Below are 27,459 nucleotides of genomic sequence, written 5' to 3' on the forward strand. Positions count from 1 at the left end.
GGAAATTTGAGCCATTGAAGTTTGGGGGTTTGGTAATGACAGTGAGGCCTTTGAGCTGCACTGAAGCTGGTCTCTTAGGACAACAACAATTAGAGGAGGAAGGAAGGTAAAGGAGGCCTAAGACAGTCAGGGGGAGGGAGACTCCCCATTCACTGACCTGTCAGTTCAGGCCTGGGCTCTTGCCACCTGTGATCCTGTTCATCATTTGGTTAGGTACCCAAAGCTTATGTGAAGAACAAATTGTTTGGAATAAATTTGTGGGAACCTCTGATAATCACTGTATATGAAATAGAATACAATTTTGAGAAAAAATCATTAGGTTTTGAAGAACAGTTAAAATATTTTTAAAGAATATGGAGAATTGGAACAATTTCTCTGAGAATTAGACATTTTGAAACTATATATTAATATTTACTCATCTGCTCCTTAAATGCAGCACATTTCTGATGCTAAAGTATTAAGATGAGAGCAAAGTGAGAGGGGGGTGGGAAAATAGTTTCTTAGTCATATGTTCTCTGGGTGTCCACATCTTTGAAAGCCCGTGTACAGGATTTTATGTTGTGGATCACTGGCAATAATATACAGTCTCAGTAGAGAGTATGAAGGTTACACCCTGCTGTGGCTCCTTTTTCTTACAATTTACTGGCCATTGCTACATAGAAATCAAGTCACAATGGAAATATTTATATTTAAAAACTCCAGACTATTTCAGGAGCAAAATTACTCATGATTGAGTTACAACTGGATGCATCAGCTCATTTAGCAGTTGCCTCCTTAGCTTTGAAACATCAACTGTGACATAAATCAAGATGTACATTAACAAGGATGGTATAAAACATCTGTGAATTCTAAATAAGGGAAAATCACATTAGTCACCATGCAAACAATGTGTATGATAATTTACATAAAGGCAGGAGGTAGCCAGGAACTCAAACAGACCAAAGAACTGAAATAGACCTCTTATCCGAATGCAAATAGTATACAAAAGGAACTATCTGTCTTCTCATTTTTTTTCCTGAGCATGTAAGAAATAGTTATACAAATTGAATAATATTATTTCTATTGAATTAAGAGAAAAAGGCTCTTCTTGAAAGAAGGGAACATAATTTCTTCTTGAAGCATGTAAGTCCTGGCAGATAATCCTCTGAGTGTCTAAGCCATCACATGCTGCCCCTGTGGAGTCAGCTGGAACAGTTTGCTGCTCATTTCTGAATGCAAACTGTGTCTCTAAAGTTCTTGACTGTGGTCAACTTCAAAGAAAGGCAAGTCCTAAATACCCCATACAAAAAGAAATCGGCCTTCTAACCCCAAGCATGGTCATTGTAAGTACCTTTTGGCATCAGATAACTTATGTGTCTGATTGCATTATGTTCTGAGCTGATGTATTTCTACTAGCAGTGAATAAAAACTGAAGATGGCTAAGTGTATGCATCACAAAATATTAAGAGAAATTTTCAAGTTATCATGTCCTTTATTTTCCGTGGATAATGACACATGAAATTAATCAAGTAGCCTAAGGAATCACAAATGCAGAAAGTTGTGGAGCTAAGAAACAGGTCTTCTTTCTTTGTCCTCCTTAACATCATAAAAGTTCTTATTTCAACAAGCAATGTACCTGAAGTTAGCAGTTTGTTTCATCTATAATTTGCGCTGTATAACAATGAGAATGATATTCTCGTTATTCTTGGTATAACAGGCTGTTCCTATCCTTGCCCCCATTAACAATAAAAACCCATGCAGTTTTCAGCCATTATCATTTTTCTCCTGATAAACCATCTGTGACATGGAGACCTTGAAGCCGGGAGTTCTGGCCACAATGCTCAATAGACTATGCATACAGCTTTTTCAGAGGTAATCACTGTAAAAAAAAAAAAAAAAAAAAAGATACCAGCTCCAGTGTTATTCTTCTCTCTTATAAGTTTTGTTTTGCTCCTTTTTATACATCTAATGTAATGTGAGTTCACATGAATTCAGCCCAAGGCATTTTGCCTGACAATAGAAACTACATCTAAGGCTAGTGCTTAAGTAGGTGCTAGAGCTGTCTTTTCCCTTAATTCCAGCTGCTCTTGATGCTATATTTAATGCAATAACTAGAAGGAAAATGTTCTCACTACAGAGCTGCTTTGTCCCTATTTCATTGTCTTTCCTTACAGAGTTCAGAAATCATCTGTCTTTTGGATAGACTAGGTCCCTGTAAATTGATCTTGACTCAAATAAAAAGGAATCAGATGGCAAATAAACTCGTATCCCCACCAACTGGTTTCATAAATAAATAAGAACATGTGGCTCTCCAGAGCCTGCTGGTTTTGACCTCAAGCCTTTATAAAGCTGAAGGCTATTACAAAGTGATATGCAGATAATATCTAAAAATCAGTTATAGAAGTAGATCTAAAATAGAGGTTAATAGATCAATTCTTTTGTGTATGCATGTATTAATCAGGATTCTTCAGAAAAACAGAACCAATGGGATATGTATATGTATATAGAGAGATTTATTTTAAGGAATTGGCTCATGTAATTGTGGAGGCTTGGTGAATCCAAAATCTGATGGGCGAGGCTGGCAGGCTGGAGACTCAGGAAAGAGTTGCAGTTTGCGTCTGAAGACAGTCTGCTGGCAGAGTTCCTTCTTTCTAGGGGGAAATCGTCTTTGTTCTATTAAGGCCTTCAACTGATTGTTTGAGGCCCACCCAGATTAGGGAGGGTAATGCTTTACTCAGGTCCACTGATTAAAATGTTAGTCCTATTCAAAACACACCTACACAGAAACATCCAGAATAATGTTTGACCAAATACCTGGGTACTTCGACCTATACAAACTGACACATAGAATTATCTATCATAGTGCACATATACTCCTTAATGTTAAATAAACAACACCCATACTTCAGTATCCCTTCAGAGATTTACAAAAGCTCAGAAAATCATTTGAGCAGGCAATGCTTCTATTTTCCATGCACGTCCCAAGGACAAGAGATTACTTTTTTAAATTGTAGCTGTGGACTGTTAATGCATATAAAATCAGGAAGTCCTCCACTGTCCACCCTCAGGTGTCATACCTGGTGTTCTGTTGTCCCATGCTATTTCTTGGGGGAGTGGAGCTTCCTATATTAGTGGACATCTGTAAGCCCTATAAATAGTCACTTAGAAAGTAACTTTAATGTTTATCTTGAAGTAAGAAATGAGGTTGTTGTCTCACAGATAGAAATAATTTTAATTTTTTGAAATTATAAAATATGAACACTCTATATGTATATGTGTGTGTCTGTGTGTATGAATTTTTATTTTTTTTACCAAGGCAGTGTGTATCTATAAATAGAAAAAAAATTATCTTCAGCTCATAATGTTTTGGGGGTGAACTACATTTTATCTTTTTAGTTGAATTTTCTCTTCCCTTTGGGAGCATCTGAACCAACAACAAAACTAGGCCCAGAAGACGGTGTCTCCCCTGTTAACTTCTGGGCTTCCTCCTTTGTTCTTATCTTTGTTAATCTGAGTGCAGAACCCCCTCTCTTTTTGACTTATCAAAAAAAAAAAACCATAAACATGGAAAGAAATATCAAGCTGAAGAAGGAATGTGCATTTTAAGGAAAAAAAATGTCCTTTCATGCATCAGTTGAAAATGGAAGTCCAGGGCTCTACTGTTCTTAGAATGTGAGCTGTCCTCAGCTCATTTGAGTCATACTATTAATATGAATAGTGTGAAAATGAGGTCAGTGTAATTATTTCTTTAAAGTGGGCTTGTACCAAGCCTAATTTTGTTTTGTATCCCATGAGATTTTTACATTTTTAGTAATAATAATAACAGGTCAGGGTATACTGTAGAAAGTGAGAATTTAAACTGTATCTTACTGGCAGTAAATTGTTCCTTTGAAGTAAATGATCTCTTATAGGTAGTTTGGCTTTTTGGGAAAGATAATTTCCCTCACATGAATTAAGAGGAGAAGTTTCTTATTTGTCTTATTATGCATGAGATCAGTTCCCAAAATAACTATGCTAATAACCAGATAAAAACCTTACAGAGATGTAAATACTAATATCATATGGGGAGAATTTTATAACTTTTGGAGATATTTCTCATCTAGTCTAATTTAATTGTTCTCATAGCTGTTCTCAGATTGTTCTCAGATGTTATCAGCATCTGAGTTGAACATTAAAAGTAAAACTGAGCAAAACAAATGAAGCAAGATATCTTTTGAACAATAATATTTAGAAATATTTGCACTTAACTTTCACAGCAAATTTTAAACTTCCTTTGCTGGCTGCCATGGCCCAGAAATTTGACTAGAGACAAAGTCTGTTTTATTTTTAGTTTTGTCCATATTTAATGGTAAGGCATGACTTTGAATCACAAACATTTTTTCATTTGCAAAATAGGTGATACGAGTTCAATGTATAAACTAGGAAAACGGCGAACAATATTTAATAATTGCGTGCTCTGGGAAAACATATTATGATACAGACGTTAAATTCAGAGTATTTAACTTCTCCAGAGAATATGAGAATTACTAAATCAGTTACTGGATATTTTTAAATGTTCAAATGCTAATTTGATACAAGTCCTAGAGAATAGTTCAGATAATGACCTATGTCAAATACTTTGGAGATATATATTAGGAAGAATAATCATAGGTCAGAAAGAGCTTCTATTCATCCAGCAAATATTTATTGATGGCTTACTATGTGCTTTATGTCCTGTGTTAGATACTATGAATATCATTTTATATAGCAGAAACATGGTCCCTGCTTTTGTGGGACTTCAAGCCCAGTGGAGAAGATACATAGTATACACACATACATGCACAAATGTACATGCATGCCCTTTGTGATGAGTGCTATAAAAGAAAAGTTTGGTGCTGTGTGAGAGAATAACCTTGGTGGTGGTTGTTGGGATGGTGGACTATATACAGGAAGATCATGAAATGGTCTCTGTGATTTGACATTTATGCTATGATGTGAAGGTTAAGGAGACTGCTGTGCAAAGAATGAAAGAAAAAGCATTACAGGGAGAAAGAAGAGCATGTGTGAAAGCCCTAAGACAGGAAAGAACTTGGCAAGTTTCTGAAATTGAGAGGCAGCCAATGGGACTGGAGCCCAGAGAGCAAGAGAGAGAGAAGGGGTTTGGACTTGTAGTGTCTGTATCATCATGACCATTGCAGGCATTAGGATCTTACCCTAAATGCAAGTGGAAGCCATTGAAAGGTTTATCAAAAGGACAGGTATATGACCATTCAGGCAAAGGTGAAAGCTCATGCTATTTATTTCATGGTTTTAAATGTAGTGTATTTTGTTATTTTTTGACGTATGATATTCTTGTTTTTTGTTTTGTTTTGTTTTGTTTTTTGCTTTAGAGTCAATTTTGGTACAGAAGTAGCAGTTATCTCTAATAATTACCTAAGAGAGAGCGGAAATTCTACAATTTGACCTCGAGAAAGTTGCTTAGCCCTTCTTTTCCATGCCAGAACTCTGAATTTTAATAAGATATGGTAAAGCTATTTTTAAGGCAGTGATCCAAGAAGATATACTTTGAAGTGTATTTCCTTTTTGTTGTATTTCTGACTATATATTTTCTAAAGGCCTATTAAAAAGTACTATTCTTCAAAGATAATCTATAAATATACACAATGATTTTCAAAATATCATTCCCAAACCATTTTATCAAAGTTACTGTTTACTATTCTGTTTGATTGCACAGTGGTGTAGTTCCTTCAGAGACTTTTGGGGAAGGCAGGAGAAGGACAGAGCATATGGAGGATGTCATGATGAAATAATGCTTCCCAAGGAAGTATAAGGAAATATTTCTTTGGTTCTGTACTAGGCAGAAACCCAATACAAATGAAGCATCAAGAGCATTACTATTTCCCAAGAAAGATCATGAGTGTATTTCATGGTTCTATTTGTTCATTTTCACACTGCTATAAAGAATTGCTTCAGACTGAGTAATTTATAAAGGAAGGAGGTTTAATTGACTCACAGTTCCACATGGCTGGAGAGGCCTCAGGAAACTTACAATCATAGCGGAAGGCACAGGGGAAGCAGACACCTTCTTCACAAGGTCGCAGGAGGAAGAAGTGCCAAGTGAAGGGGGAAGAGCCCCTCATGAAACCATCAGATCTCATGAGAACTCACTATCACGAAAACAGCATGGGGGAAACTGCCCCCATGATTCATTTACCTCCATCTGGTCTCTCCCTTGACATGTGGGGATTACGGGGACTACAATTCAAGATGAGATTTTTGTGGGGACAGAAAGCCTAACTATATCAATGGTGATTCTGTTTGTATCTGTTCTTTAAATTAATTTGTTGTAAATGAAAGAATGGAGTTTGTTGCTTCAAATGGAGGAAAAAAATCATAATATTCTATCCTTTAAAAAATGAGGTGTCTTATACTGATAAAAGAAATTATAAAATATGACAGGAAATGTATATGGACCACATGTGTTTTCTCTAAAAGTGAAAAATATTTTTTGTGTTCACAAATCTATAGTTTATATAACCAGAGTCTCGAATAAAAACAAACAACCCCATCAAAAAGTGGGCGAAGGATATGAACAGACACTTCTCAAAACATTTATGCAGCCAACAGACACAGGAAAAAATGCTCATCATCACTGGCCATCAGAGAAATACAAATCAAAACCACAATGAGATATCATCTCACACCAGTTAGAAAGGCGATCATTAAAAAGTCAGGAAACAACAGGTGCTGGAGAGGATGTGAAGAAATAGGAACACTTTTACACTGTTGGTGGGACTGTAAACTAGTTCAACCATTGTGGAAGACAGTGTGGCGATTCCTCAAGGATCTAGAACTAGAAATACCATTTGACCCAGCCATCCCATTACTGGCTATATACCCAAAGGATTATAAATCATGCTGCTATAAAGACACATGCACACGTATGTTTACTGCGGCACTATTCACAACAGCAAAGACTTGGAACCAACCCAAATATCCGTCAATGATAGACTGGATTAAGAAAATGTGGCACATATACACCATGGAATACTATGCAGCCATAAAAAAGGATGAGTTCATGTCCTTTGTAGTGACATGGATGGAGCTGGAAACCATCATTCTCAGCAAACTATCACAAGGACAAAAAACCAAACACCGCATGTTCTCACTCATAGGTGGCGACTGAACAATGAGAACACTTGGCCACAGGAAGGGGAACATCACACACCGGGGCGTGTTGTAGGGTGGAGGGAGGGGGAGGGATACCATTAGGAGGTATACCTAATGTAAATGACGAGTTAATGGGTGCAGCACACCAACATGGCACATGTATACATATGTAAACAAACCTGCACGTTGTGCACATGTACCCTAGAACTTAAAGTATTAAAAAAAAAAAAAAAAGCCATACAGCCTTTGTCCACTTCCCTGGTTCTCAGTTTTCCCATAGGCAAAGGCAAAGATGAAGCAGCTAGGGAGGTGCGTTCTTGCTCACATCCCATGTGACTTTCTTGCCCTGAGTTGCTAAGGAAGTGGGCGTGGCTCAGTCTAGGCACTGCTGTCCAGCTGCAGTGGACTCTGTGCTCTTGCCGCTAAGGTTTAGAGTAGAAAGTTACAACCAGCTCTGAGATTTTCCTTCACTCCTTAGAAAGTTCAAGGAAGAAATTACACACGCGGTGGCCATGATTGACTACAGTGAACGGGAAGGAGACTAAGAGACCATAAGGTGGTTTCCATTAAGGGGAAATTTTACTCCAGGGGCACATTATAGTTAAGTTTCTTGGTTAACAGTCTCGTAGTTTATTAGTCTCTGACCTTGTGCTGCTGATTTGCAGCTTTGTAACCTGCTCCTGCTTCAGTGTCCTCTTGCTTTGCCTGCTTTTGAAAGAAGGAAAAGAATAAAACACCGAACTTATGATGACACTGATTTTACATTAAAATCTGGGGCTGAAGTTGGTGTGTAAGGGATGTGGCCACTTCCATCTGTGGATCTGTGGCTACTATTGGATTCGTTTTTTTAAAAATGTAGTTCTGTTGAAAATCATCTTCTGATAGACGTATAATTTTACCACAAACTCCAGATAAAGCATCTGAATGGAAATACTTAGAGATATCTTCACAGAAGTCATTTCTTGTGTTTTCTGAACTAATTGTTAAATAAATTCTACAAGCTAGATAATATTCCAATTTTAGGAACAAAACCAAGGCTCAGAGAAATTAAATCACTTATTCAGAGTCACAAGTAATAACTATTAGGGCAGGGAATGTCTTATGGGTGAGTGAGATTAGCAGTCATAGACCTGTCGGTTTTTCCCTTGCTTCACCAGCATGCTAAACTCATCATTTTTGCAATATTAAATACAGAGATAATGAGGGCATAGCACAATCAGAATAATAGCATAAATGTTTATCTTTAACGTATTAAAAATATGTCTGTTGTGTATTCATGGCAACAATTAAGCTCCTGGTCAGGCCAAAGGGTGAGAATGTTTAAATGAGTCTTTTTCTGCCACCCATTATCAACTAGGAAAATCAATACTAATGGGGGAAGCACAAGAGCAATGACTAAGTTCGTTACATGTGATCAGAAAGTGAAACACATCTACCATGTTAATGTAGCTTTCAATTTATGGTGACATTTACTGAAAATACTCTGCAATATTTGGCAAAGTTAAAAGAGAGATTGTTCCCCAATTAACGAGAGGATCAAAGAGTGAAGATTAGGGAGGGAAGTAGTGTCTTTTTTTTAAGAAGCAAAATGTTTGGAAAGGTCAGGCTTTGAGTGAGCTAACCTCCACCACTTTTAGTATTCAGGTTGACTAATGAGCGCTTCACTCATCATTCTAATGGATGCATTTATGCTAGGAAAGAATAATAAAATGCTTCTCAACAATGGGGGGGACCAATGGCAACTTTATACGGACAGACACGTAATCATTTCTCCATTATCTAAGCTACCCTCAAAAATTAGAGTTGAATATAAGCTGCTATCCTATACTATAATCATTTTATTCAATATTTTGGATTATTTCATCTAATCAATCATTTAACAATTATTTATTGAGCTTCTACTATGTCAAGACCTGTTCTAGACTCAGGAAACTAGTATACAAAGCCCTCGACCTCATGGAAACTTTATTCTGAGATATCTTTACAGGAATTATCTAGATATAGTTTAGAAAATTACTTTTCTTGCATCTGATTCTTCTTGGGGAGGTAACATTTTCCCCCTCTGAACATAGAATTTACAGTCTATTAAAGCAACTGCGTAGATCCTAGCAATATGTTATGCAATATGTGAATCCTCTCTATGTGAAGAAAATTAACAGCTGTAAAAGTTTAAATCTGTGGGAGGTTACTAGGATGAATAATATAACTTCTACCCTCTCCCTACTTTCTTCTTACACGTTGTGTCACCTTGGGAAAAAAGTTTCTGTTTTGGCATTGCATACAATTTCAAGGATCTAAAATGCAAGAAACAAATTTTGTGCCAAAGGATACTATCTGTAACTTTAATGTTTTTTAAGTGCTTGCTATTGAGGTGGCAAATAAAGTTTTGTTAGAAATAGTGGGGCCTAAAAAGATACAGTATTACTTACTGTTTTGTTTGTTTTAGTGAGTCCCATGAAACACTAATGTCTTGGGAATATTTTTTCCCCATGTATTAACAATTAACATTTTGGGAGAAATTCTTCTCTTAAAAAGATGAACTCTTGACCATTGCAGAAAGAGGATTCCCTCAAGATTTTGCTAGGATGCTCTTGTGTTATATGTTCTAATATCCTGAAGAAGTGCATAATTATAGTATTGTCTACCTTTTTTTTTTATCATTGGCTTTTATTCTGCCTGTCATCTTTTTCTGAACTTGCAAGCATATTTGTTCAGCCTCCCCTTGCTACTGAACAGTTTGTTTTCCTCTTCCTAAGGAAAATACGATCTATTTTATGCTATTTTCTATCTTGTTTGCAGTGTACCTTTTCCGCTAGGATTCTAAGGATGTTTTAAATTTCTCATTGTGATAATATAATATTTGCAATTTCTAGTTTTCACCAAAAATAAGTTTAAATGAGGATCAAGTTATGTCACATGCTGAGTTTTGTCTTTCACATTTGTGCTCTACCTTGACAACAACATTTACTTGGAAGAAACCAAAATGCTAGCTTTCCCATTCTCAGTGCTATCTACATTTCTATTAAGAGCCACATAACACAGAGATGGCTTCTGTTTTTTTATTTGAAGACCTGATGCTTCTTCAACTATCAAAACATATCCAAAGTCTGCCTCTCCTGGCACACTAATGTCTACAGAACACTTTTCAAATAAGAAATAAAATATTGCAACTTGTTTTGATAAAACCCATATTGTATTAAATGTTAATTTTAAGTGAACCTTGTAATGATTTCTTCAAATAATAAATAGAGATTTAAAAACAGCCCTTTTCTAATGTCAAGGAGGTTTTAAAAATATGCTGAACTGCCGCAAGGATGCTGCCTGGATTCTTTGGTAAGTAGCCTAGAGGAAACAAATAAAATCACTAAAAAGAACTCCTAAAAGATAATCACATGTAAAATAGGAAATATAAGCTAAAAGGGCAATTTTCTCCATAAAGAAGTTGAAATCACAGGTGAAGCACTCAGTAAGTAATATAAGAACTTCTGATTCGGTTTGTTCTACTCACTCAGACCTCTGTGGGAATGAAACACTTTAGAACCTGTGACTTTAACTGCTGGATGCTAGGTAGAGGTTGTTTTCTTTGAGGTCCTAATTTATACAGCATTGCTTAGAGCTTACTCAGGCTCTGTGAGTCTGGGGGAGCAGAGTGGAATCTTGGAAGAAGAGCAGCTGTTTCCTCACAAATGTACATAGTTTTACGCTAGGAACTCCCCTTCCCCCAACTTTGGCTGTGAAAAACGTCTTTTGTGGAAATAAGTATGTGTATTTCCGGAAGATAAATAAAAGCTGGTATATAAATTTACTCTCTATATAGCACATAGACACTGAGATTTACCTGACACAAGCAAACTAATTATATCAAATTAATTAATTGGCAAAAATAAAGTTTTTTATATTTTGTAGATGAAAACAATTATTTTATTAACTACATCTTTTTTCTTTAACATTTGGACTTCTGAGTGCTTATTTACTGCACTGAAACTGAAAAAGCTGTACATAAAATTTATTTTTAGAGTTTAGATTTTGTACGTGAATTTTACATGCCTGAGTTTGTTTTTTTAATTGAAATATTGGATAATATATTCCATTTGACAGGGCTACTATAAGAGATTTTTTATTCATTGTAGGTTCTTTCTCTCTATTTTTCTCCAGTAGTTAACGTTGTATACCTTTCATACCTTATCATGGGCCATTATGTTTGATAAAACATCAGTTCTATTTTTTCTCACTAAAGACATCAGCTAAATATTCTAATAAAGTCACAAATCTTTCACAGAACACACAATGCCAAGACAGCTGGTCTCTTCTATGTTTCCTCAGACAGCACCTTTTTCCCCCATAATTCTCATGCAGGAGTCATTATTTTGGGTTTCAAGATGTAATGGCTAGTGAAGACATGATGGGAAGATTGTTTATCTTTAGAAGGCAGCCAAAGTGGCACTTTTCAAAGCTCTGGTTGAAAGGATGCTGAGATATTTGGGAGTGGAGTTTGGAATTGGGAATTTCCTAGATGATCCTATAACTCTTTGGGGAAAGTTGCTATTTTAATGGATAAATAATTCCACTCGTTTAAAAAACAGACATGTTACTTCTTTAAAAAGCTGTTTCTACATCTTTCCTCCCCAATTAAAAGTCTCTCATTTTGTAGATGTGGCTTTAATTTGAAGCAATATGGTATTCTCTCCCCACCCCATTCTAACTAAACAAACTCTGTAAGAATTAGCTTTGAGTTATTCCATCTGTGGACTTTTAATTTTGTCATAAAAACACAGAAGCCTGGCAGGAAACTCTTTCCAACTGGCTACATGTATCATCTTGTCTGAAAGCTGGTTAAGTAAGTATGGCATTTAGAATGAAATTAAAAAAAAAAAAACTTCATTTATGGAACTAGTTCACACGAAGTGTTTGCCCACTTCTTTGACCATCTGTTTATGTTGACAACCACCGCCCCACATTGTGCCAAAGTGCCCTTGGCTATTAAAAACAGTGTTTTGTGTGTGAGTGGTATGTGTGTCCTCACACATGTATGTGTTTCTGGGGTGCTGTTTTCTTGAGAAACATCTTGTTAAAGGTTGAATATGGTCTATGTGGAGATATTTCAGGTCAGTTGCTGTTCAGAAAACATTGTGCTGAAAATGCTACAAGCCCACTCATTTTAAAAGGTGTTCCCCCCGCCTCCCGAATATACTGAAATTTCTTTTAAAAGGCTATGAATATATTATCAAAATACCTGTTGAATTTGGCTATAATGGTAATGATATTATATGTTGAAGGTGAATCAAAATATGAATCTAAACATGTCTGAGTACAGAAATACTTTGGAATGATTCAGGAATTCGAAGCTGTTGGCAAGATTCCTTTTGCCAACAGGAATATTGGAGTTGACATTTAATTCACCAGATGATAGGGGAAAACTTCTTTTCTATTGAACAATGTAAAGACTTTGGGGACAAGATGGCCTCCTTGGAGATGAAGGACTGTGGACAGGGGCATCATTGTCATTTTTATTGCTTTGAATAACTGTATATTAAAGGTTTTAAACAACTTATTAAAAGCCAATCAGTGAACAACACTACTTCAAGCACTGAGCTGGAGAAATAAAAAAGCACATTCTCAGCTGTACCAAAACTGTAATTCTAGTGGGAAGGAGGAGACACTAATGATAAGAAAGATAAAAAGAGATGGATTTTGTCAAATGGAGATAAAATATTTATAGGAGTTCCAAGGATAGAGAAGTCTTGGTGGGCTGCTGAGTACCAACGACAAGCCAGTTTCAATTCCTTAAATCCCTGAAATTATCTGGAATGTACATGGCAGCACCTGTGAGGCTCCAAACCTCCACTGAACATTGAAATGCATATAACACCTGAGAAGCACGATGAACACAGTGAGGTTTATATACTTGAGTAACTCACAGGGATAGGATGCAGGCTTAGAAACAAATTAAGTGTGTGGCTTGGGGACTAGTGTAATAAACTGTCACAGGACTCTCTTAGGTAAGGTTGAGTGCATATTCTTTGTCTGGCTCTAATCTGTAATTATTATTTTTATTATTACATTTTAATCTTCCAAGACTGATTTTCTTTTTTACATTTGGTTTGTCAGCTTTTCAAATAGGTTTGCATTTTCTCAAATAATTTCCCATGTTTTATCATCAATTGCTTTAGAATTATTTCTCAGAGCCCGAGTCTGGGCTGAATAACAGATATCATTTCTGACAGCTGTAAAGTGAGGCTAACGAACATCCCAATGAGGATGTACCATGCCAGGTTCATCCATCCAGCTGAATTTGTATTGTGAGTGCAAATAGCTGCATGTCATGGCCCACTGCTGCCCAGGGCTGGAGTCATTTATTTAATAACTCAGTTCACAGGCATTACAGGGGAACTGTAGCATTTCATATTATTCAAGACAAATAAAAAATCAAAAAATTTTACATGGAGAAAAGTAACATTTCAGTTCTTCCCATTGACTGAGGCTGTTTAAATACTAACCGTGACAGTTAGTCCTGAGGTATAAAACATTAACAATTTATATTAGGTTCGGAAACGGTATCTCCAACTGTGTCATTTGATGGCATGTAGTTTTTCTTTGGGTTTATTGGAGAGGAATTTTAAGATGTGTTTATTTCTCTAACCTTCAGTTATTTAATGTGCAGACCATTCATGCAGTTTAGCAAACTGAACTTGCTTCTAGTTGTTAATACTTAGAAATGCTTGTGAGGCTGTAATCCCAGCACTTTGGGAGGCCGAGGCGGGCTGATCACGAGGTCAGGAGATCGAGACCATCCTGGCTAACACGGTGAAACCCCGTCACTACTAAAAAATACAAAAAAAATTAGCCGGGCACGGTGGCGGGCGCCTGTAGTCCCAGCTACTCGGGAGGCTGAGGCAGGAGAATGGCGGGAACCCGGGAGGCGGAGCTTGCAGTGAGCCGAGATCGCGCCACTGCACTCCAGCCTGGGCGACAGAGTGAGACTCCGTCTCAAAAAAAAAAAAAAAAAAAAAAAAAGAAATACTTGTGAGGATATGCATTAACAACAACAAAACAGAATTCCAGTTTTAAATGTGAATTGTTTATGTTTTCGATTGTAACAAATTTTCTCCCCTTTTTTGAATGTTTTTTCCTCTTTTGTTTATCTAAAATTAGACTAGGCATTCAGCTTTATTTTGAATACTACAAAGTTGTCACTGAAACAGCAAGCTGCAAGTAAAACGATGAAAATTAATTTTATCAGGGGCAGGGAGGATGTAAAAAGAGCGTTAAAATAAAAACATAAAGAGAAACTTCTGGCCGGGCGCGGTGGCTCACGCCTGTAATCCCAGCACTTTGGGAGGCCGAGGCGGGTGGATCACGAGGTCGGGAGATCGAGACCATCCTGGCTAACGCGGTGAAACCCCATCTCTACTAAAAATACAAAAAATTAGCCCGGCCTAGTGGTGGGCACCTGTGGTCCCAGCTACTCCAGAGGCTGAGGCAGGAGAATGGCGTGAAGCTGAGGGGCGGAGCTTGCAGTGAGCCGAGATCTCGCCACTGCACTCCAGCCTGGGCGACAGAGCGAGACTCCGCCTCAAAAAAAAAGAAAAAAAAAAAGACAAACTTCTGTTTAAAAAACATAGTCATAACTTAATGGTGACAAAATTTTACACTTCGGAGATATAAATGTGATGAAAACTTACTATTGTTCCTATGATTCATCTCTTGACACGTTTTATTTTACATAGTAGATTGAGAAATATTTAGTCAGCAAATGAATAAATGATTTGCTGTTGAATTTCAGAAGAGAGTCTTCAGCCTCTCAGTAGCAGTGGAAGCTTGGGGTGGGCCTGAGCTCACCCAAGACAAAATGAATGAAGGGCGAAGAAGAAAATGCCAAGTCAGACCCTGCCCTGGGGATCACCAACAGTGAGAAGAGGAAATATAAGAAACTTGTGAAGGGCCGAGCGCAGTGGCTCACGCCTGTAATCGCAGCACTTTGGGAGGCCGAGCCGGGCGTGGTGGCAGGTGCCTGTAGTCCCAGCTACTCGGGAGGCTGAGGCAGGAGAACCGCGTGAACCCGGGAGGCGGAGCTTGCAGTGAGCTGAGATCGCACCACTTCACTCCAGCCTGGGTGATAGAGCGAGACTCCATCTCAAAAAAAAAAAAAAAAAAACTTATGAAGGAGGCAGAGATATTTCAAAGAGACAAGAGGAGAACTGAGATAGGTGACCTGAGAAACAGTGAACTAGAGAGATTTGAGAAGAAAGGATGCAGGATGTAGCAGAAATCAAGCTAACGGATCCAAAGGGTCTAATGGATTGCTTAGAGGGAAATATTGGAAAGAACAATGTTGGGGTGTTTCTAAAAGGGATGGCTAGATGGCAACATTTTGAGGAAGCAATAGGAAGTGAGGAAAAAAGACAATTTAAAAAGCTATTCTTTCCAAAAGACTGGCTGGAACGTAAGGAGAAAGGACAGACATTAACAGTAGGCAGAAGTGGCATTCGGAGTGGGAATAGTAGACATGACTGGTGGCCTTTTCATGTTTCCTGAGCTCTCACCATGTCCCTGCAGGTAATTCTGAGACCTACACTGTGTTCTGTCTGCCAGAGTCCCCAAGAAGGTATAGCTGCAGGTGCACACTGTATCCTCTTACTTGATTAGAAACTTGATTAGTAACACCCCTTTGTTGACTTCCTCCATTTCCTGTGTCACATTGCCATCCCCTATCTGAATACTTGTACCTGACTTCTTGTCTAAGGGTTTGTTTCTAAGGATCCCAGACGGAGACAGAATTTGTTGACAGGCAGGAGTTAATGGAAAGGGCAAGTCTGAAGACATAGAAAAGAGAAGAAATAATTGATAGAGCAAAGACTTCATGAATTGAGAGAGCAAGGTGGTGAGCTAGGAGTCTTGATGAGTATGGTGGAGATAGCTATAACTGAGACCAGAAAAGTGTGGAAGGCTTGCAGAGAACTATAAAAAGTCTCAAGTCAACTGGATGCTATTATTGACATTGGGTAGCAAAACAAAAACAAAAAACCACCCACACAAACAAAAACAACAGCAGAAACAAAAAACCCGCACAAAGCTAAATTATCATGTGTAAAGCACTTCAAACATCATTTGTCTTGTTGATACTGATATTTTACAATTTCGGGAAAAATCCACTTCAAATGTAATAGAAACTTGAAAGTTATTCTTCTGTGCACTGCAAAACTAAAGGACAAAATTGAATTCGTTTGAAGAAAAAAAAGGTTCTTAATCTTCTTGGATTTTTTCACAGAGATGAGATTTTGAAAAAGTATTTTAAAATAAACTTAATTTTCTGTGGCCTCATACGTAAAATCATTTTTTAAAAAGTTTGTATATGAAGAGCCTTTCAAATACAAGAATAAAATATTGATAACGAATGGAGTATGGCAATTTAAAACATTTACCACATTTTGCTTCCTTGTCTCTCCCTTTTTTTTTTTTAAAAAAAGCACAGATTAAACTGTTAACAACTTAGCAATTAAAGCCTGATGGCAGGAATCTGTGTAAAGTGATCCCTTCATTCACCCAACATTTGCTGATAATCATCCTGTGCCAGTTGCTGTGCCAGACGTTAAAGATAAATGAAAGACCCATTTATCCCCCTGGAGGAGCTGACACTTTATTGTTTATTTTTTTAAATTTTTTAAGTTATTATTTTAGGTTTGAGGGTACATGTGAAGATTTGTTACATTGGTAAACTTGTGTTACAGGGTTTTTTTGATACAGATTATTTCCTCACCCGGGTATTAAGCCCAGTACTCAATAGTTATCTTTTATGCTCCTCTCCCTCCTCCCACCCTCCACCCTCAAGTAGACCTCAGTGTCTGTTGTTTCTTTCTTAATGTTCATAATTTCTTATTATTTAGCTTCCACTTGTAAGTGAGAACATGCGGTATTTGGTTTTCTGTTCCTGCATTGTTTTGCTAAAAATAATAGTCTCCAGCTCCATCTATATTCCCGCAAAATACATGATCTCATTCTTTGTTATGGCTGCATAGTATTCCATGGTGTATATGTACCATATTTTTAAAATCCAATCTGTCATCGATGGGCATTTAAGTTGATTCCATGTCTTTGCTACTGTGAATAGTGCTGCAGTGAACGTTCGCGTGCATGTGTCTTGATGGCAGAATGATTTATATTCCTCTGGGTATATACCCAGCAATGGGATTGCTGGGTTGAATGGTAGTTCTGTTTTTAGCTCAGTGAGGAATTGCCACAGTGTTTTCCACAATGGCTGAACTAATTTACACTCCCACCAACAGTGGGTAAGTGTTCCCTTTTCTCTGCAACCTCATCAGCATCTGCTGTTTTTTTTTTTTTTACTTTTTAATAATAGCCATTCTGACTGGTGTGAGATGGTATCTCATTGTGGTTTTGATTTCCATTTTTCTAATGATCAGTGATATTGAGCTTTTTATTGCATAGGCTTGTTGGCTGCATGTATGTATTCTTTGAGAAGTGTCTGTTCATGTCCTTTGCCCACTTTGTAATGGAGTTGTTTGTTTTTCTCTTGTACATTTGTTTAAGTTCCTTTTAGATGCTGGATATTAGACCATTCTCAGATACGTATTTTGCAAATATTTTCTCCCATTCTGTAGGTTGTCTGTTTACTCTGTTGATAGTTTCTTTTGCTGTACAGAGGTTCTTAAGTTCAGTTAGATCCCACTTGTCAATTTTTGCTTTTGTTGTCATTGCTTTTGCAGTCTTTGTTATGAAATCTTTGCCTGTTCCTATTTTCAGGATGGTAATGCCTAGGTTGTCTTCCAGGATTTTTATAGTTTTGGGTTTTACATTTAAGTCTTTAATCCATCTTGAGTTAATTATTGTATACGGTGTAAGAGGGGGGTCCAACTTCAATCTTCTGCATATGGCTAGCCAGTTATCCCAGCACCATTTATTGAACAGAGAGTCTTTACCCTCTTTCTTGTTTTTGTCAGCTTTGTTGAAGATTAGATGATTGTAGATGTGTGGTATTATTTCTGAACTTTCTATTCTGTTTCATTGGTCTATGTGCCTGTTTTTGTGCTAGTGCTATGCTGTTTTGGTTACTGTAGCCCTGTAATATAGTTTGGAGTTGAGTAATGTGATGCCTCCAGCTTCGTTCTTTTTGCTTAGGATTGCCTTGGCTATTCAGGCTCTTTTTTGGTTCCATATGAATTTCAAAATTGTTTTTTTCTAGCTCTGGGAAGAATGTCATTGATAATTTTTTTTTTGTACTTTAGGTTTTAGGGTACATGTGCACAATGTGCAGGTTTGTTACATATGTATACATGTGCCATGTTGGTGTGCTGCACCCATTAACTCATCATTTAACATTAGGTATATCTCCTAATGCTATCCCTCCCCCCTCCCCCCACCCCACAACAGGCCCTGGTGTGTGATGTTCCCCTTCCTGTGTCCATGTGTTCTCATTGTTCAATTCCCACCTATGAGTGAGAACATGCGGTGTTTGGTTTTTTGTCCTTGTGATAGTTTGCTGAGAATGATGGTTTCCAGCTTCATCCATGTCCCTACAAAGGACATGAACTCATCCTTTTTATGGCTGCATAGTATTCCATGGTGTATATGTGCCACATTTTCTTAATTCAGTCTATCATTGTTGGGCATTTAGGTTGGTTCCAAGTCTTTGCTATTGTGAATAGTGCCGCAATAAACATACGTGTGCATGTGTCTTTATAGCAGCATGATTTATAATCCTTTGGGTATATAGCCAGTAATGGGATGGCTGGGTCAAATGGTATTTCCAGTTCTAGATCCCTGAGGAATCGCCACACTGACTTCCACAATGGTTGAACTAGTTTACAGTCCCACCAACAGTGTAAAAGTGTTCCTATTTCTCCACATCCTCTCCAGCACCTGTTGTTTCCTGACTTTTTAATGATCGCCATTCTAACTGGTATGAGATGATATCTCATTGTGGTTTTGATTTGTATTTCTCTGATGGCCAGTGATGATGAGCATTTTTTCATGTGTCTTTTGGCTGCATAAATGTCTTCTTTTGAGAAGTGTCTGTTCATATCCTTTGCCCACTTTTTGATGGGGTTGTTTTTTTCTTGTAAATTTGTTTGAGTTCATTGTAGATTCTGGATATTAGCCCTTTGTCAGATGAGTAGATTGCAAAAATTTTCTCCCACTCTGTAGGTTGCCTGTTCACTCTGATGGTAGTTTCTTTTGCTGTGCAGAAGCTCTTTAGTTTAATGAGATCCCTTTTGTCAATTTTGGCTTTTGTTGCCATTGCTTTTGGTGTTTTTGGCATGAAGTCCTTGCCCATGCCTATGTCCTGAATGGTATTGCCTAGGTTTTCTTCTAGGGTTTTTATGGTTTTAGGTCTAACATGTAAGTCTTTAATCCATCTTGAATTAATTTTTGTATAAGGTGTAAAGGAAGGGATCCAGTTTCAGCTTTCTACATATGGCTAGCCAGTTTTCCCAGCACCATTTATTAAATAGGGAATCGTTTCCCCATTTCTTGTTTTTGTCAGATTTGTCAAAGATCAGATAGTTGTAGATATGCAGCATTATTTCTGAGGGCTCTGTTCTGTTCCATTGGTCTATATCTCTCTTTTGGTACCAGTACCATGCTGTTTTGGTTACTGTAGCCTTGTGGTATAGTTTGAAGTCAGGTAGTGTGATGCCTCCAGCTTTGTTCTTTTGGCTTAGGATTGATTTGGCAATGCGGGCTCTTTTTTGGTTGCATATGAACTTTAAAATAGTTTTTTCCAATTCTGTGAAGAAAGTCCTTGGTAGTTTGATGGGGATGGCATTGAATCTATAAATTACCTTGCGCAGTATGGCCATTTTCACGATATTGATTCTTCCTACCCATGAACATGGAATGTTCTTCCATTTGTTTGTCTCTTCTTTTATTTCATTGAGCAGTGGTTTGTAGTTCTCCTTGAAGAGGTCCTTCACATCCCTTGTAAGTTGGATTCCTAGGTATTTTATTCTCTTTGAAGCAACTGTGAATGGGCCTTCACTCATGATTTGGCTCTCTGTCTGTTATTGGTGTATAAGAATGCTTGTGATTTTTGCACATTGATTTTGTATCCTGAGACTTTGCTGAAGTTGCCTATCAGCTTAAGGAGATTTTGGGCTGAGACGATGGGGTTTTCTAGATATACAATCATGTCATCTGCAAACAGGGACAATTTGACTTCCTCTTTTCCTAATTGAATACTGTCGTTGGTAATTTAATAGGAATAGTATTGAATCTATAAATTGCTTTGGGCAGTATAGCCATTTTAATGATATTGATTATTCCTTTGCATGAGCATGGGATGTTTTTCCATTTGTGTTTTCTTTGATTTCTCAGCGCACTGACACTTTAATAAAAGAAACATACATGTAGTGAAATAAGTACAACATAGTGTGTTGAATAAAAGTTAAGAAAGGCTTTCTGAATGATGTGATGTTGAAGGTGAAGTGTGGGTCTTTAAGGATAATGGGAAGTGTAACAGTGTGACTCTGGGTGCTTAGGGCAAGTGTCCGGAGGTGAGAAATTGGGCATAGGAAGTGGGGAGGCAAAAGAGTAAAGAGAAATGAGATTGGAAAGGAACTAAAAGGCCTGATTTGGAAAAGCCTTATCTGGCACATGTATCAACTAAGATTATATTCTGGCATAAGTAACAGAAAATACTCTAGGGGCTTAAGCAGGTAAGGAGTTTGTCTTTCTCACATACCTGTCAATCCAGGGGGTTTTATTTAATAAACACTTTTCATAATGCCTGGTTTCTAAGCATAGGCTTGTTGCAGATATTGATTTATCTAACACTTATTACAACCCTTTGAAGTGTGTATTACTTTTATCCCTATTTTATGATGAAAAAAACTAAGACATATAGTAGTTAAGTAACTTGCTCAGTGTCACACAAATACTGGAGGTAGGTTTGAGTCCAGATGGTTTGTCTCAAGAATGCTCTGAGGAACTCCATGGACTCCACTCTGCTGTCCTGTGGGAGAGGCTCAAATCTTCAAGAGAGCAGAGAAAAAAGGATGAGACAGAAAGAAAAGTGTCCTATCTAATCTAAATACTTCTTCAGTAGATAAAAGTGAGAGATTCAATTAAAATCACACATTCCCATCATTCAAGATATCTATGTTTTTGGTGAGAGATGAAATAATGTTAATGGGCAATTAGCTACCCCAGAGTTTGGACTGTAACTACTAAAACAAAGAGAATAAACAGAGCCTACAGAATTGGAATCTTGAGAACAACTTGTCAATAAGAAGTTGATAAATACAGCAAATGCTCACTTAGCATGGGGCTGAGTGTAATTTTGGGTTGGAAGTGTATTTAATTCTCTAAACTCTACGTGGGTGAACTTACTCAGTTTGTATAATTCTATTTTTAAAATATAGTTTTAAAATATGTTTTTATTCTAAATAAATATTTTTTTACATTTGAAGACCACTGGTGAGCTGATACACAAATATTCTTTACTGTTTTTTCCTTTGGCTTTTAAAATCTTTAAGAAAATCTAATCTGTGGTATCCAGTAAGCTAGTTTAATGCAACACTATTAGCTAAAATGTTAAATAAAATAAAGCAGCTAAAAAAACTGCCCTCTCTCATTATTCTTGCATTATCTTTGTAAGGGACACAAAACCTATTGATATGGTTTGGCTGTGCCCCACCCAAATCTCATCTTGAATTGTAGTCCCCATAATTCCCATTTGTCCTGGGAGGGACCAGTGGGAGGTAATTGAATCATGGGGGTGGTTACACCCATGCTGCTGTTCTCGTGATGGTGAGTGAGTTCCTATGAGATCTGATGGTTTTATAAGGGGCTTTTCACCCTTTTACTCAGAACTGCTTCTTGCTGCCGCCATATGAAGAAGGACGTGTTCGCTTCCCCTTCCTCCATGATTGTAAGTTTCCTGAGACCTCGCCAGCCATGCTGAACTGTGAGTCAATTAAACCTCTTTCCTTTATAAATTACCCAGTCTCGAGTATGTCTTTATTAGCAGTGTGAGAATGGACTAATACACCTGCCATGCCTGTTCCTTACTTACTAAAAAAATTTACTCCCCTTTCTCCATAGAATGCACGCAATTTGACCTTATGCTACACTTCCAGTCTCTACTCCTGCCTCTTTATGCTCTGTCCACATGTGATTTCTCACTATTCTCTACATGGCTTGTGCCCCTATAAGGTTTGTGCCCTTCATTTCCTGTGCCCTCTACCTCTGGTTCCCATGCTCAGAATATCAGTGTCCTTACTGCAGGGGTGTATAAGCTCAGATCTCACCTCCTCCATGAAGCCCCTATAGACACCCAGAGAGGATTAATAATGACCCTCCTCCATGTTTCCATAACACTGCTAGGCTTTCTCCTGAATTTTTGTTTTTAGGCTAATGAATTAGGCTTTAATCTCTTTTAACTCTAAGGTATAATTAGATGTACTATATTCACAGAATCAAGGGAATTTGAGTTGGAAAGGGCCCTAGAGATCAGCTAGAACCACCTCCTCATTTCACCAGAAATAATTGAAATTTTAGGGGACTTGTCCAATTTACTATTTTTGGCTAGTTGTAGGACTCAAACTAGAACTGCTTCCTGGATCTGTGCTTTTTCATTAGAATATGTTGTAGCCATGTGGTAGACAGAAAAATCTGCTCCCCTCCCCTCTTCAGATGTCCATATTCTATTCCATGGAACTTGTGAATATGTTAGGTTACATGGCAAAGAGAGATTAAGGTTGTAGATGATATTAAAGTGGCTAATTAGCTAAATTTAAAATAGGGAGATTTTCCTGGGTTATCTAGGTGGGTCCTGTGTAATCACAAGAGTCCTTTAAATGTTGAAGGGAGAAACAGAAGAGTGTCAGAGCAATATGCTATGGAAAAGTTTGGCTGCCATCACTGGCTTTGAAGATAGAAGGGGCCATGAACCAGGGAATGTGGACCTCTTTTGGAAGATGAAAAAGACAAAAAAAAAAAAAAAAAAAAAAAAAAAGAAAGAAAGAAAGAAAGAAAAAGGATTCTGTCCCAGAGCCTCCAAAAGGTATATAGTCCTGCTAGCATTTTGATTCTAGTCCAGTGAGACACAGATTTCTGACTTCCACAACCATAAGATAATAAATTTATATTGTTTTAAGCTACTGAATTTGTGGTAATTTGTTACCATAACAAGAAATGCATGTACTTAAGTCCAAACAAGGTTAAATTGATAACTCAAAGCTTACTAAAGAGGAATATGATTACTGAGGGGTTTTTTTTAAGGCATATTTTATTTCCACAAACTTTGAGATTTACTCTGAATGTTTTGGGTTCTATTTATTCATTCATCCAATGAATCTCTATTGAATGTGTGACGTTTGCTGTAGTAGACATTATGGTAGTTTAATTTTATGCCTCAGTGTTTTCAGTCTTCCCTGCATCTATCTTCTTACCATGGACTCATTATGGGTGAAGGGTACTTTCTTATGCTTTGACTTTGGACTTGGCCATGTGACTTGTTTTGGCCAATTATATGTGGGCAGAAGTGAGTGTGTCAGTTTTGAGCCAAGCTTAAGAGCCATGCTATTGCTTTAGAGAAGCTTCTCCTTGTCATCTGCTCCCTAGCCTGGATAACACATGGAACACTTGAAACAGAATATCTAGCTGAGCCCCAGACCTGTGAGTAAAGCAAACTTATTGCTCTATGCTAGTAGTGTTACTGAGTTTGTTATACAACCTTATTATGACAGTTCTTGACTGGTACTGTCATGTAAACACATGATCTAAACACACCTGAATAGAAGCATAGGCAGTATCGTAGAGGTATTTCAAGTATAAAGGAGAGTTGTGTCAAAGCACCTGACTCTTGCTGGGAGAATCAAGGAAGTCTTCAGAGATGAAATGACATTTGAGCTGAATCATAAAGGATGAATATGATTTCTTTAGGTCAATAAAGGGTGTGGGTGAGTAGATAGGAAAGGTTATGCGAGGTAAGTAAAATAACTTTAAGCAGATTTAAAGGTAATTTAGTTTCAGCTGAAGGAGCTGGTAAATATGCCCTTTCTTTATTTGGAGTTTGCTTTTTTTGATACTTTTTCTATAGAATGTGAAAAGTAATATTTCCCAAGTAGTTTGTTAAACAGATCTCATGTCTGCTTTCTGAAGTGATAATTACAAGATTATGTCAAAACCTGTTTAAGAGAGTGAGAGTGTGGAAGAAGCAAGAAATAAAGAGGGACTCATTTTAAGAGGTCTCTCATGGTCCAGGTAGATTCTATGCCTCCTTCGTGGGCAGAACCAATTTCCTGTCTCTCTTCTTATGTATAACAGGATGGTAGCAAAATCACGCATCTTTTTCTGAGATGATTTTTAATGCAAAATTGTACTTTCCATCTGAATTGTTCTTGGCTCACTTGGATTGTTAAGTGGTCTTAATTAAGCATGGGAATCAATAACTAAGAAGAATTAAGAGATTGTTGGGAACATCATGACTATCATTTGTAAACTATATCATGAGTGGTGCTTATGAGACCAAAGCCATTGTTTTATTTCCTCAGTGTTTTGGTGTTTTCTGAGGTCTGGGGTATCCTCCTGTACCCTAACCCTAGTTGGCATTTTCCACATGCACACTTTCAGCAACAAGGGAAAGAGGAGACAGTGTAGAATCCTTTCCTTCTAGAGAGAACAGCGACATTTTCCAAATGATCATGGGTCAATAGTATCTTTGTCTAAAAAGATTGATATATGTCATGATTTCAACAGTTTTGGAATTTGTTCAACAAGAGCGGTCTTGGGAATACTTAAGAGCATGTGCACATTGAGATGTGTGTTAACACCTCTCACTATCATATCTGAAATTTCCAATTTTAATTCTTGTGTAATATATTCTTGTTACTTAAAAAATTTCATATTCACATACCCAAATTCTATGCAACCTGCAGGAAAACATGCATACTCTTTCTCTATGGCAAATGGCATGCAATTCTGGCATGAGCAGGGTTAGAAATGTTAATGAAGAGGGATCTGCAAGTGTAACTAATATGATCTCATATTTAAACAATTCACAAATCAATACCATGGTTGGATTTAGATACCAGATGTCAAACCACATAGTAATGCAGATACAGTTGCTTGCCTCCCTGTAGCTGGTCGCCAGAAAGAAACAGATGGTTAAAAAGATATGTAGCCGAGGCAAGGCATGGAAATAGGAAACCACAGAGCAGAAATTCTGCCATTTAAGTAACAGTAATTTTCTAGTCTGAAAAACCTGGCTGTTTTATACCTCCACTTATACACTTAAGCAGTTTAAATGTGAAACATAGCAAAAATAGTCCAAGCAAGGCTGGCAACTTGCAAATTTTGCAATGCATAATTGCATCTCAAAAATCTCGGAGGCAGACGCACAGCAGTAAAAAGTAAACACTTGTATGCAGTTGAACACAATTATGTGGTGGTTATTACCTTAGCTCATTATGGCATCAGAAGGGACTCTGTGAACTTGTGCTCTAACTAGCAGGTCAGGCAAAATGCAAATAAGTACCAAATTTGAAAGCGAGTGACAAAAAACAGATACAATTTAGACTGGGAGTCTATAATTTGGCTTTTAAAAATAATCCTCAGCAAGAATTATCCTCATTACAATAATGGCTTGTTTATTCTGCACAACTTGTTTGCAATTACAGACCCTCTTTCAAAGCTGATTTCAACAAGAAATAAGAGCATACAAAAAAGGGAGAGCTTTGTGGCTGGTCAGTTGTTATAATTAGAGTTGATGCATATATGTGTCATAAAACCATTTACGCCTTTTCTCCAAATCTTTTAATTTCAGATTTCTGTCACTAAAATCTAAAGTCTGAAATAGTCTTTTATTCTAAAGAAATCATTATAATTGAATTTCTAATGAGGGTGTCTATGGAGCTTTGTTCATGGTATTCCTATTATAGAACTGGAGTCCTCTGCATCTATTATGGTCAGGTGACCATGAAATGATGAGCTACAGCTGTTACAGGGCATGTCTCTGCTGGTGCTTAATTCATAGCAAATACACATTTTATTGCTAATGTGCTTCCTCATTCATTTCTTCAAATATTTATTCAAATATTTATGGGGTACCTACAACGAGAAGGCATAGATCATGGTTAAGGATGCCAGACAGCTTGGGCTGGAATCTTGGCCCAGACATTTACTAGTTGTGTGACCTGGGACCTCTGTGCCTCAGTTCCTCCCGTTTTAAAATGAAGACAATTATAACTCCCTTATAGGATTGTTATGAAGATTAAATAAGTTAATATACCTAAAAAACTCAGAAGAATACTTGACACATAGTAATGTGCTGCCTGTTGTTATTTGCTGGGCCTTGGGGGCAGAGTAGTGAACAAGACGGGGTTGATTTCTACCTTCATAGAATTTTTGTTCTGGGAAAGAGGGAAGAAGGCATTCAGCAATGAATCATCCATTTAATTATTAAATTACATTGGAATTAAGAGCAATAGGGAAGGATAAAACTGTGAAGGTATTGTATAAAATGGGAACTTGACCTGTTCTGAGTAGGTTTCTGCCTTCCTGAAAGAAGTGATATTTGAGATCTGAAGGATGGGTAGGAGTTACTTAGAAGAGATATTAGGGAAGTTGCTTTCCCTACAGAAGCCATAGGAGAGATGAAAGGTTTAACGTGGGAAATTCAATTAGAGACCCTGTGGCTGGAAATGACTCAGTCAAACAATTATAAAAATAGTTTAATTATAAATTGAGTTTTCCTGTCATTGATTCTTGTTCTTCCAGTGAGACCCTACCATGCTTTGCAAGCCTTTCACTCATGCAACTCACAGTGAAATCCTGGGCTTTTCATTGATGTAGATGTTTCTGGGTTTTTTTCCTAGCTCATGACAAAATTGGTTTCCACTGCACTTTGTTGTATTCAGAGAAGTCAAATAAAAGTCCCAATTGAAAAATACATGAAAATAGATGTCTAATAAGCCATATATATTATACATATATGTATTTTTATGTATGTATATACAATTTTATGTTAATAAAATTGTAAGTTGCTTTTATACCATATATAGCGTTTTATATTGTGTTTTTTTCTTAAGATTCTTCACAAATTTTTCCTTACGTTTCATGCTATTCTTAGAAAATAAGGTTTTAAGCTATTTTAAAATATAGTGCATGGCTGTTTCTTAATTTATTTACCCATAGAACCTTTAGATTATTCCCAAATTTCCCATTATAAATCATGCTGTAAAAACATCTTTCTAAAACTCTTTGGGCAAATTTCCTTATACTAGATTCTCAGGAGTAGTATTACTATGTCAAGAACAATGAATTTCTGTTTAAGATTCTTTATACACATAGCAAAATTTCTCTACAGAAATA

At 37.2% G+C, this 27,459-nt stretch overlaps 1 protein-coding gene and 1 long non-coding RNA gene across 2 annotated transcripts in view; one reads left to right on the forward strand and one right to left on the reverse strand.

Moving 5' to 3' along the window:
* Positions 1-27,459, forward strand: part of LINC01088 (long intergenic non-protein coding RNA 1088) — a 337,052-nt gene that overhangs the window by 202,134 nt on the left and 107,459 nt on the right. Inside the window, exon 4 of the long non-coding RNA NR_038342.1 lies at positions 21,955-22,051. This is a non-coding gene — a long non-coding RNA (long intergenic non-protein coding RNA 1088). The remainder of the gene's footprint in view (positions 1-21,954; positions 22,052-27,459) is intronic.
* NAA11 (N-alpha-acetyltransferase 11, NatA catalytic subunit) overlaps positions 1-27,459 on the reverse strand; it is a 170,686-nt gene that overhangs the window by 18,506 nt on the left and 124,721 nt on the right. The gene's annotated exons all lie outside the window — the stretch shown is intronic.

Source organism: Homo sapiens, chromosome 4 (assembly GCF_000001405.40).
Source record: "Homo sapiens chromosome 4, GRCh38.p14 Primary Assembly".
NCBI lineage: Eukaryota > Metazoa > Chordata > Mammalia > Primates > Hominidae > Homo > Homo sapiens.